This window comes from Homo sapiens, chromosome 1, assembly GCF_000001405.40.
Source record: "Homo sapiens chromosome 1, GRCh38.p14 Primary Assembly".
Taxonomy (NCBI): Eukaryota; Metazoa; Chordata; class Mammalia; order Primates; family Hominidae; genus Homo; species Homo sapiens.
Window position 1 is genome coordinate 198,172,797 of NC_000001.11, and position 12,381 is coordinate 198,185,177.

A 12,381-nucleotide genomic window follows, 5' to 3' on the forward strand; every position below is an offset into this window, starting at 1 on the left:
CCACATCAGCTTAGAATTTAGAGTCCTATTTAAGCAAAGAGTTTAGAATAACTCCCTCAATTCTTGATTAAATCTATATTGATCATAACTAAGTTAATAATAAGTAACAGTTTCTTTGTGTGGTGGTGAGAAGATGCATCTGTGATGCTGAATTTGGAATATCATGGGATATGTAGCTAACACTGTCTAATAGGCAATTGGTTATATATCTCATGCTCAGCAGAGAGGTCTGGCCTGGAGTAGAGCTCTGGTGTCATCAGTAGAGAGACTGATATATAGCAGCAGAGGAGTCTGTCTAAAGAAGGTGTGTTGGGGGCCTTGTCCATTCTTTCCCACTTAAAAGTGCAGTTTTTCGGATGTGGTGGCTCATGTCTATAATTCTACCACTTTGGGAGGCCGAAGTGGGAGGATTGCTTGAGACTGGGAGTTCAAGACCAGCATGAGCAACATAGGGAGACCCTGTCTCTACAAAAAATTAAAAAATTAGCTAGGTGTCATGGTATGTGCCTGTAGTCCCAGCTTCTTGGGAGGCTGAGCTGGGAGGATTGCTTGAGCAAAGGAGTTTGAGGTTATAGTGAGCTATGATTGTGCCACTATACTCTGGCCTGGGAGTCAAAGTGAGACTCTGTCTTTTAAAAAAAAAAAAAAAAAGGACAGCTTTTTTGAAAGGTAAATAAATGCCCAATGAATACTGGAGGAAAGTAAAATTTAACTTGTTATTTGCTGCCTGACTTAAGTATAATATGTGAGGTATTTTTCTTGTCAACATAAAATAATATCATTTCCATTCTTAATAAATCTGTTTTTAAAGCCTCTTAGTATAGACCATCTTTATGACACTTTAGCATTCTTTAGTTGGAATATGGATTTTCACAGATTCAGGTTTCTGAAAACAAAATTTAACTGCTGTCAATTATATAATTTCATTTTGAAAGCCTATAGTCAGTATTAATTAGATTTTCATTTATTTGGTCATATTTTTATATAAAAAACTTTATAATTAAAGTTTTTTTTATAGAACATCGTAGATAGCTTTATCAGCATAACATTATGTTATTCCTGCTTTTAATTTTTCTTATTCTTTGGATAGTATTTCCATAAAGTCATAGTTTTACATGTAAGTGTGCCAGAGAAAGTACATTTGTTTCTAGTATATGTTTATGTTTGTTAAAAGACATTCACACAGAGTTTGGCATGATTTTATAGTCTGTGCTCAAAAGAGCAAGAGAGAAATTGCAAGATAGTGCAGGTCAGAATTGAAATAATTTGGCAGAGTTTGGTGAGAAAGCTTGCTTAGCAGCTGCCTAGGTTAACTTTGCACCATCCATTCAAAGCATAGTTCAGTTCTGAGATATAAAAATATATAACCAATTAAATTTAGTTTCCCAGAGGTAAATTTTAAAATGTAAAATATAACTTTGATTTACCTTGTAAGTACATTGAAACATCTTGTTATTAAGTACAAGGATAGTTTTATATTTATGAGGCAGTGGCTTTTATATACTTCCTTTTTTCCTTCCTTTCTTAATTTTACGTTTTTGAAATCTTAATTTGCATTGACGTTTATGCTTGGTAAAAAAAAAAATCTCAAAGGTACAAGTATTATGCTTCGTTTCTTGTGTACGTGGGGAGGTGGGTAGGAGGGGGAGGAAGGCAGTGAGTTTTCCAAGAAGTAAAGTAACAGACTAAATTTCTGTTGCTAAACATCGATTGTGTCCTACTAACCTAATTATACATTAAATAGACTCTTGTTATGACTAACTCAGGTCCTAAGAATGCAGTCAGGGCCTAAGTGGGGCTTAGTGAAAAAGTTCATTGCAGAGGACATCAGAAGACCTGAGCTAGAGTCAGTCATTGCTTTACCACTGAGATCAGGGCCTCAGTTTCCTTGTCCAGTTTTCAGCAGCATCAAGAGGAATAATGGATAGGAAAGCATTGTGTTTTTTTTTGTTTTTGTTTTTTGTTGTTTTTTTTGGGGGGGGACAGGGTCTTGCTCTGTCACCCAGGCTGGAGCATTGTGGCAGGATCATGGCTCACTGCAGCCTCAACCTCCTGGGCTCAAGTGATCCTCCCACCTTACTGACCAAGTAGCTAGGACCACAGGTGTGAACCACCTTACTGGGCTAATATTTTAATTTTTTGTACAGATGGGGGTCTCATTGTGTTGTTTAGGCTGGTCTCAAACTCTGAGACTCAAGTGAGCCTCCCACCGTGGCTTCCCAAAGTTCTAGGATTACAGGCATGAGGCACTGTACCGTGCCTGTTAGGAAAGCTTTTAAAACTACTTTATGGTTTATTGTAAACTGTAGTATGTAAATAAGAGAGGATTTTGAAAGTTCAGGAATAATCAATGCATAGAACAGTGTCTGTAATAGAGTAGGTATGCAAAAAATATTTGTTAAATGAATAAATATGAGCAGTTGATAAGTCTTTCTATAAGGATTAAATGTAAAACCATGTGTTAATTTTGAAAATTCCATTAAATTTTTCTTTTATTTAAATGTGTTTTTCATTTTTTGTGTGTGATTTTTCTGTTATTGAGTACTTGTTACAGACCAAAGGCTTTTAAAAACAAATGACCTTACCATAAATAATTCATACTAATGAAAGTATTTCCAAGTACTAGCCTGTATTCCATAAGGCCTTATCAACTTCGTTATGATAAAATTCATACTATGAATTATTTAGTACAAGGAATTCAGTAGAATGTTTTTTAAATCTGGTTTTGAAGATGGGGCCAAGCTATTTATCTTAGCTCTTTAAATCAGTTTGGTTGTCATGATTTTTCTAGTATTACAGCTGAATGATTAGCTTAGTGAGCATGTGCTTTTGCCAGACTTTAGTTGTTGCTATGTGACTAACTGAATGACATATAAAAACATGAGGGGAATTTGTAATAGCATTCTGTGTCCACAGTTAACCTAAACAAATACAAAGTCTATCAAAAGCTTTTTGGACATACTTTAAAAGGGCCGAATAAGTATCATTTGTCTTTCACATGCTTGTAGGGAAACTCTTCGGTAAAGATAAGCAGAAGAAATAATACTATCTTGCATTTGTGTGCTGCTTAAAACTCTTGAGAACTGTTCTTCCAGCCATTCTTTTACAGTAGAAAGTGCCCTGATTTGATTTGTTGTTTCAGAGATAATGATGTGAGACCTTGCTCTGTCTTCTCATGCTATGTACTCATTATGAACCTTCCTTTAGAGGGGAGGGAACTGAGACACAGGGCGGATATGTTGTCTTTAATCGAAAGCAGGTGCTCATGTGAATTTAAACTAAGGTTTCCTGATGGTTAGACCTGTAGTCTTTTAATCTCTTGTTTTGTTTTCTAACTGTGTTTAGTTATTCAACAAATATTTATTGGATCTTCATGTGTGCCGAAGGTATAAAAATGAAGAGCAAATAGATTCAGCCCTTGAGTAGTAGTTGCTAATACATAGGTAATGGGTAGGGCCTAAGGTGGACAGACAACTGATTCATTTAAATACATGAGACAAATGCTTAAAATACGTATTTTAAAAAAGGCTACCTGAGTACCAAGCAAGGTTGACCAGGCTGACTAGCTGGGTTGAGTATTTCAGTATGATGCCATTGTCTGTGTCAGAGGCACATAGGTATTAAATAACTTGGCATTTGGAGGAAGTATAAGTGGTTCACATTAAGGCCAGAGTATGGTACTTATGTGGGGGAAAGTAGCTGGCAAGTAAGGAGTGAGGTTGAGGAGATTATGTTTTATTCATTAAAGAGTTTTAAGCAGGCTTATGACATAGATTTTCATCTTAGATTTATCATATATATATATATATAATGGGTATGTAGAATAAGAATTTCATTACTAACATCAGGAAGAGCAGTTAGTAGATTTTAATAGTAGCAAGGATCATGAGGGTCTGGGATAAACAGAGTGATGATGTTTGTGAGGCAGAATTAGTAGGAGTTGAGGACTTACGTAGAGGTAAGGGAGTAAAAGTTTCTGGTATGACCTAGGGACCGTAGGGGATGACGGATAACAATGTAGGGGGTGACTGGATGAAAATGCCATTCACTAAGAAAGGAAATACAGAGTAGAAACAGTTTAGAGTGTTCAAGATTTTAGACATGTTAGGTTTAGGATATTAGGCAGAAAGATGCAATATAATTGGAAATGAGATTCTGGAGCTACAGGTTTATAAATCGTCAGTATGTAGGAGGCAGGTTATGTCCAGCTGAAAATGTGTGATTATTGATTTAAATAACCAAGGGACTTACCATTAAAGGAAACTTAAACAAGAGAATCAGCAGACTTGTTTATTGATCACAGAGCAAAAGACTCATTTTGTGTAGAAACGATAAAAGTAGATAAAATAATTTCCTTATTATGCTCTTTATGTAGTGATTCACATTGCTAGCTTGATTTACTTCAAGCAAGTACTATATTAAGTAGTAGTAGGTAAACACACAGTTCTGAACCAATAATTGATGAAAGTAAATTACTGTTCTTCAGCCAAGAATTGGAAGGGATCAAAGTGTTCTCTTCAGTATCACAAAATGCCAGAAGTAATGGAACAATTACTTCAGAGACCTAACAAAATCAAAGCAGAGGATTGTGGCTAAAAAAGGGCATACACAGCCAAATTATTGTTCATGTATGATGGCAATAGAATTACTTTTTTTATTTTCAACGTTCAGAGACAATGTATCACATATGAGCTCTTCAAAAATTATTTGAAAATGTACTATTAAGAGTTTGGGAAAGGGACATGTTTGTACAAAATCATTGAGAAAAAGCATTGAAATGCTTTTTTTAAATGTAGAAGCAAGACTAAATACTTGTTTTGCAAGATGGGAAATAGTACAAAATGTCAGAATAACTTAAAAAGGGTATGGTTATAAAACTTATAATCTGAGAACTGGGAATGAAGTGTTGGGGGAAAGGGAAGAGTGATGGCATGATCAGTTCCTCAGCTAACCTCGGGTTGTGTGCCAGAAGAAGGATTTCAGTTTTACTTTGATAATGAACAAAAAGTCTGGTTAAAGGAGGCCTTTAAATAACTTGGAATCACCATTAGTGGAATTAAGATAAGAAAAGATATGTTTGTTTTCTAAATGGCTAGACAAAATCAAGCAAGCAAACATCGTCCATGTGGCAAGAGATGAAAAAAAATAGCACAGAAACATAAGAATTAAGAATATAAAAGACAAGTGTCAACAAAACAATTTGTATACAGTATATTAAATTTCCCTTTAAAAGGACTCAGATTAAAGAGAGATCCTCAACTATGTGCTGCTTTCAAAAGATATTCTTAGAACGAATCAACCTAGAAAGGTTAAAAATAAAAAGGTAGCCAAGATTTATAAGGAAAATACATCAGAAAACACAGAGGAGTAGCAATATAAATTTTAAAGTAGAGTTTAATGAAGAAAATCACTAAATAAGAGAAAGAACAACTTTATAAATCGACTCAAGCCCTAATAACTAATAGACTAATGACTATGGAAGAATTAAAGTAATATGAGCTGCCTTCCCACTTAGACTTATAGTCCTGTTTTTAACGTTTTTTACTTTTAAATCGAAATGAATAGGAATCTTTCAGTTCATGCTCTTGAGTTACTATATTAATATCAAAGCCTGCAAAAATTTGGCCCAAAGGATGATATGTTGGTCGAATATTGACCAGACTGTGTTCAACAGATTACCAGACTTTTCCAAGATAATAGAAATTCTGTAGGAGAATTTTGTGGCTAGACAAGTTTGGAAAAATCTGCATCGGGTACTCTTTTGGGGTTTACAGTGCACTTTAGTGTAATTGGATCCCTGAGAAGTCTTATAGCTAAGAAACCAACTTGACTTTATTTTGCCCAGTATTTTGCAGATTCATTTGTTCATGGACCCTCTCCCTGCCATTTTTTGTTGTTGTTGTTGTTGTTGTTGTTGTCATGGAATACAGATTAACAACTCCTGGAATTCTAGTGTTTTAAAGAGCAGAGTTTGAAGAGCACTTATGGTTGTAGATACACAAAGCTTCAATAAAATTAAAACTAATGGTACAGTTAAAGAGTCATCAGTCATGACCGATAAAGGTTTATCTGAGCATATAAAGATAATATAATGGAAGAGATCTAGCTATTTGATTCATTATCTCATTTGGTTCAGTAAGAAAATTTGTGAGATAAGCTTAGTAGAATAGAAAAGCATTTGATACCATTTGATACCCCCCCCCTTTTTTTTTTAAGGAAAAGCCTCTTAGAAAATTGAGACTGTCATTTGATATGGGATATGGTCAATATAAAAACATACTGTAATTTCATATGTTTGTCCTTATTTCTTCTCAACTGCTATAATTTAAACTCATTGAGTATAGGAAATATATTAATCTTTACATTTTCTGTTGCCAATTCTAATATAAGGCCTTGCATTTTTAGGCATTCTATATACTATAGTGATTTCTTAAATGAAAACATTATTTGGAAACCTATCCTCATGTAGTTTTCAAGTTACAGTGGATTTTAGGAAATTTGTGTGTTGTGTGTGTAAAACATTTTTTAAAAATGTAGAACATGCATGGCTTTTCAAAACTTAAATAGACATTCTTCATTATGGGCCTTTATGTTTGCTTTATTTTTTTATCCAGTAAGCCCTGAATTCTTAAGATGAATTTAAATTTGGTCTAACAGTTAAGTGACAGAGAATTCATACAGATTCTTGAACAGTAAGGTGGTATAATACTCTAAAAAAAGGATTATTTTTGGTGTACAGCAAGATGCATGAGGATGGCTCCAACAGAATAGAAGTGTTCATGTAGGAAAATCAAGGGACTTTAGGACCTGAGGCTGGGACAGACTCTCCAGGATGTGGTTGGATTTTGGGCTAAACAGTCTTTCTGTGGTCTTGAGGACTGCCTTTATAGTCTGTGAAACCCTATCCTTCAATTGTGGCTTTACAGAGTTTAAGAAAATTTTGTTCGTATGCAGATTTCTGCAGTCTTCCTGTTGCCAGGAAGAACCTACAGTTACACAGGAGTGTGTGTGTGTGTGTATGTATGTGTGTGTGTGTGTATGTGTGCAGACACGTGTGTGTAAACACACAAAGTAGACTGAACTTAAACCTGATTTATAGGAGTCAGGAAACCTGAGTTTCTTTGCTTTCTCCTTGTGTAATTTTGGTTAAGTTGTGTAACTTCTTTCTTTGGAGTTTCTTGTCTGTAATCTGGAAATTATTTCCCACTCACTCCACTGTGATGTTTTGAGAAGATATCTGTGGAAACTTTTTGAAAAGTACAAAATGATAAGTGTAAAATGTCAATAAAGCATATTGATGCTTATTTTGCTAGAAGAGTACATATAAACATAAAATTTAGAAACCTTAAAAATCACGGCCAGAGAGAATCATGATTTCTACACCTCCCTTTTTTTTTTTGGTGGGGGGGTGCTTCCAGTTAAAAGTAAGCATTCAGTTTGTACTAATATTTAAAAGCCTTTGCATCATAGAGAAAATTAATCAATAACGAAGTATCATAATTTAGAATCATTATTGTTACTAACATTTTATTCCTTATTCTAAAGTAATTTATTCAGGATGTGTGCTGAGACCTGTTGTTTTAACTGTATAGCTAGATGAAAATATGAGAGAAGAGGTTTGGATGAGGTTTCTTTCCTTTGTAACAGTTTGCTTGAGGAATGGGCAGGCTTTTCCTCACTTGACAGATGGTATAGGAAGGGCATTGAGAAGCTTGCATTTGCTTGGTGGTGATAGAGACAGGGCTAGAATTCATAATTTTTGTTGTTGTTATTTAACACATTTTCCCCCTTTGGGTACAACATTTTCTTGCTGATAATTTTGACCTTGTACTAATTTTTGATAATTATCATAATCTTTTAGGGAGGTAGTCCAATGATGTGTTGCTTTTGCTTGTGGAAGAATTGCAATGAGAACACACATGGAGTATTTTCAGTAAGAGGACATTTAATTTTTACTTTGAGAAAACAAATTCACAGCCTTATTAAATAAATTATGTTCATATAGTCATTTACTAAAAATAAAAGTGTGAATAAGTAATGGGCTTATAGCTCACACATTTTTTAATGTTGATTTCTAATAGGAAAAACTGTCTATAAAATGCTTTATAAAATGATGCCTTAAATATACATTCATAATATGATTGACTTATTTTCTAGTGTAAGAGAGATATCTATGTGGAAAAGGTCAAAATAGGACAAGTTATCAAACCAAGAAGGTCACCCATTTTCTATAGTTTTCCTATTAACTTTAAACACATGATAATCACCATGCTACTTTGATGAGATAACTAATTATAAATTGGACTCTTAGACCATAGTATCATCTTTAAATAGTTCAGAAAAACAGCAACAACAAATCCAGCAAACTAAGCATTATCTTAGTTTTTTTTGTTAGGTCAACCATATACTTGACATGTAACTCTAAGCAGATAAAAACTTCTTGGTGTTTTTGATTTCAAATTAATTGATCATTGACTTCTTTTCAATAGTGCCCTCTTCCATGAAGATTCTTCAGTAAGGGTGTCTTAGGAGTTAATCATGCATTACTAGTGAGGCTCTGCTCTGGGAGGTAACTAATGCATAGCATCCCAAAGTTCCTGTCAGTAAACTCTCAATGTATACAGCATGACTTGATTATTTATTTCACAAGACGTTAGAATTGAGTGAACTTTTGAGACTGGGTATCTATCATGGAATCTAACACCTTCACTTAGTATTTGAAGTAACTAAGACTCAGAGATTGATTACACATTACACAGAAAGTTATTGGTAAAGTGGGTTAAGACTTTTATCCTCTGTATCATATTCCAGTGCTTTTCCCCCCATGTTATTTATGTTTGTGAGAATCTCCTCAATAACAATGATAAGATTACTGAAATAAATAAACAACAACAAAAATACAAACTTCTAAACTTGTAATGTTGTATGACTTTTAGATTTCATGTAGTGCCATTACTGAAGAAATGATTATTTGAAAAATTTCACTGGATGATGGACTAATCTATGAACCCAATTTAAAATGTGTTTTGTTAACATTTGACAGAGTAAAGCAAATCATTTCTTTAAAAATGACATGTGAGGGTAAGTGGTTGAATTGAAGGAGAAACTTCATTAAACTTTGTCAGTTAATGAAATGATTTCATTTGTTAGGATTCTGTTTTTTCTTGTTTTAATAGAAAAAAGTGATATATATATATAATTTTAAAATGGCTTTATATACTTGATATGTTCAAATATGCGTAGATATTTTCAGGTTTACCTCTGTTGATGGAAATAAAGAGTGAAATAATAAAAAAGGTAGGCAACAGGTAGAAGTGAATAGCAGGGCATCAGAATAATCATCTTCTCAATAGTTGGCTGTAATGAATATTTTTTACTTCAAGATGGTAAATCCAAGAAGAATTAGAGATGTGGATAATGATGGTCAGCTTTCAGTTAGAAAGGTGTTCTTGCACATACATTAATAATGTTTTCACCATTCTTAATTTGTCTCTTTCATTTAGATCATATATTAAATATTAAGTAGGTCGACCTATTTTGGCTTCTGTGTCTAAATGGACAAGGGTGTTTTAATCTCTTAGGCCTTGAACTGGAGAGAGGGAGAATGGATGTGAATAAAAGTGTGTGTATGTGTGTGCGCATGTGAGAGAGAGAGATAGAGCTTTCCTGTTACAGCCCAAAACCATGATTATGGTTCACAACCTGGGGTTGGTTTTCTGGTTTGTATTCTTGCTGCCAGGCCTGTGGCCATTGATTTCTACATGTATGAAAAGTAATTAATCTGGAAAAAAATGCAGGGATTTTGGAATTATTTTTTGGAAACATTACTTATGTATTCTGGATTTTAGAAACTGTTACTTTCAAACTCTTTGTTCTTTGTTTTATTACGTGCTAACCATCTACTTATAATTTTTACATACTTTAATGGCTCAGTAAAATATAGTACAACTGATTACAGTTATTTGTTGTACTCTGAGAAGGCTTATTATGGGAAAAAAAACTGTGTTGGATATAATGGGAGATTCAGAGGAATCTACTACAGACTTTGTTGTTATGGACTTCATAATCCCGATTGATAGTAGTCATTAACAATATAAGAAAGGCCCTTAGTGCCACTAGAGTATACCATAGTATAGGCCTTCTACAGGAAGGGGATGTCTCCTTTGGTTTGAATGAGAACTCATGGAAGCATAGGGATTTGTGCTTGGCTTTGAGAGGAGGCCATTGTGGTAGGTGAAATTATAATAGGATTTCTGAAACTCAAAAATGGGCCAGTTTGGCAGAAATAAGTGGGGCATGAGGTTCTGATTCATTCTCTTTATAGCTGCCAAAATGGTGGTATTTGTGAAATGAAAAATCAACCCTATAACTCCCATCTGGAAAACCCGTCTTTAGAGGTTACATTGGTAGCCTGAAACTTCAGATTTTTCTTGATTTTTCATGTGGCGATGTCTCTGGAAGATGTTTCGGAATACTACTACTTCCACTAGGCCATGAGCTCTTTAATGGAACCATTCTGAGTACCTGCCTGGTTCAAAGGAGGAGTTTAGTAAATTTCCGTTGAATAGATAGGGGCCTGTAATTCCAGGCTAAGGAATTTATTGTAAAGATTGTGAAGAATCATCAGAAATGTTTTTTTAAAAAAGAATGATACAGTGAAAGATACAATGAAGGAGGTATTCTAGGATGATTTAATTGCAGCCAATTGAGTATTATGCATGCTGACCCTCTAAATATTATACTTTGAAATGTTTCTGACTTATAGTAAATAAACATTTTAGTTAATAATGTCCTAAACATGTGTGTTAGTCAGTTGATACAACAAATGTTCAAATTTCTGCTGCTTTTTTTTTGGACTCTAAATTAGCATTTAGAGGCAGCTTTTTACCAATGTTTTTTAAGTTTATCAAGATGAAACAGGGTTAAGCAGGCATTATATTTTCATTCATTCAGCAAATATTTGCATGCCTGCTATGTGCCTATGGTGTTCTGAGCACTGGAAACACAGTGGTGATAAATATAGCATGTGACTCGAGACGTTTTTAATGGTCTAATGTCATTCATAATTCTGAAGTGGTTCAAGAAACAGGTGAAGAAAATGTAAAAACAATTTTTTTTCTTTCCTTTATTCCGTTTTATCCTAACAAATATTGTAAGTGGATATCTTGGAATGTAGGTGCCTACCCTGGGCTTACTTGAACATTATGTATGTTGGTGGTATCTGGTCCATTTAATAGTTGGATGTTTACTTAACAACAGCTTTCTTTAAAATGATTTTATAATGAGATTTGTACATGCCAGATTTTAGAATTTTTGAAGAATGTTTTGTTATTACTGCTGTATAGTGTGAAAATAGTAATTTTTCACACCATATTAGCTACCCTCGTAGTATGCAAGGATTTGACTTTATTCACTGGGCAATTTTCACAAATGACAAACACATTATAAATAAATGTATGGAATGTTTCACCTATTCAGACACAAGAATCCTTTATAACAATTGGTTTATGACTCAGTGCGATTTTTCTTGAAGGGGTAGATTTACAGTTCTAAATATTATCTCTTCAGTTGATTAGCTTAACTTCCTGTCGATCTGTTTGACAGACAAATTTTACATGGCTATTGTTGGAAAATGTAGAATATATTTTTAATTTTAAATAGTCAAACTGCTTACATATTCATATAACTTTCATTTTTCTAGATCATTCAAAGATCTAGGGGATTTATGACTGATGTTTGATTTAATAATTCTTAAATGAAATTGATTTGTGTTTAAGGCATGTTTACCAACATCAAAACACACATGCACACAATGCAACAACCATGGCAACAACAGTAACAGCAAGATTACCCTTACTTCCATTAATGAAATCACAATATATATATTTTTAAGATGGGATCTTGCTGTGTTGCCCAGGCTGGAGTGCAGTGGTGCCATCATGACTCACTGCGGCTTCGAACTCCAGGGCTGAAGTGGTCCTCTTGCTTCGGCCTCCCAAGTAGCTGGGACCAAAGTTGCACACCACTATGCCTGGCTAATTGAAATTTATTTATTTATTTATTTATTTATTTAGCTAGTTAGTTAGTTAGTTAGTAGAGACAAGGTCTCGCTATGTTGCCCAGGCTGCTGTTGCACTTCTGGCTTCAAGTCATTTTCTTCCCTTGGGATCCCCAACAAAATATTTTTAACCAAAATAGAAAGATAGTGGTGATTTTGGGAGTCTTGTGGCAAGACAGTTTTGAAAGGTACTAGGAAAACTTACAGTAAAAACAGTGTCTTACTGTTGTTTTTAGTATACAAGCAAGCATCGAATATAGACACTGGACACATTATTATAGATATCTGCTTTTCCTTTCTGAGGCACTTCTTTTACATAGTAG

General features: G+C 34.2%; 1 protein-coding gene across 15 annotated transcripts in view, besides 1 other annotated feature; it reads left to right on the forward strand.

The window, feature by feature from the left end:
• Positions 1 to 12,381, forward strand: part of NEK7 (NIMA related kinase 7) — a 165,423-nt gene that overhangs the window by 15,799 nt on the left and 137,243 nt on the right. The gene's annotated exons all lie outside the window — the stretch shown is intronic.
• Positions 3,129 to 3,188: a silencer, noted in NCBI's record as "silent region_1666". NCBI's record gives its function as "represses an Ori minimal core promoter by ATAC-STARR-seq in GM12878 lymphoblastoid cells {active_cell/tissue: GM12878}" and the evidence as "EXISTENCE:reporter gene assay evidence [ECO:0000049][PMID:35858748]".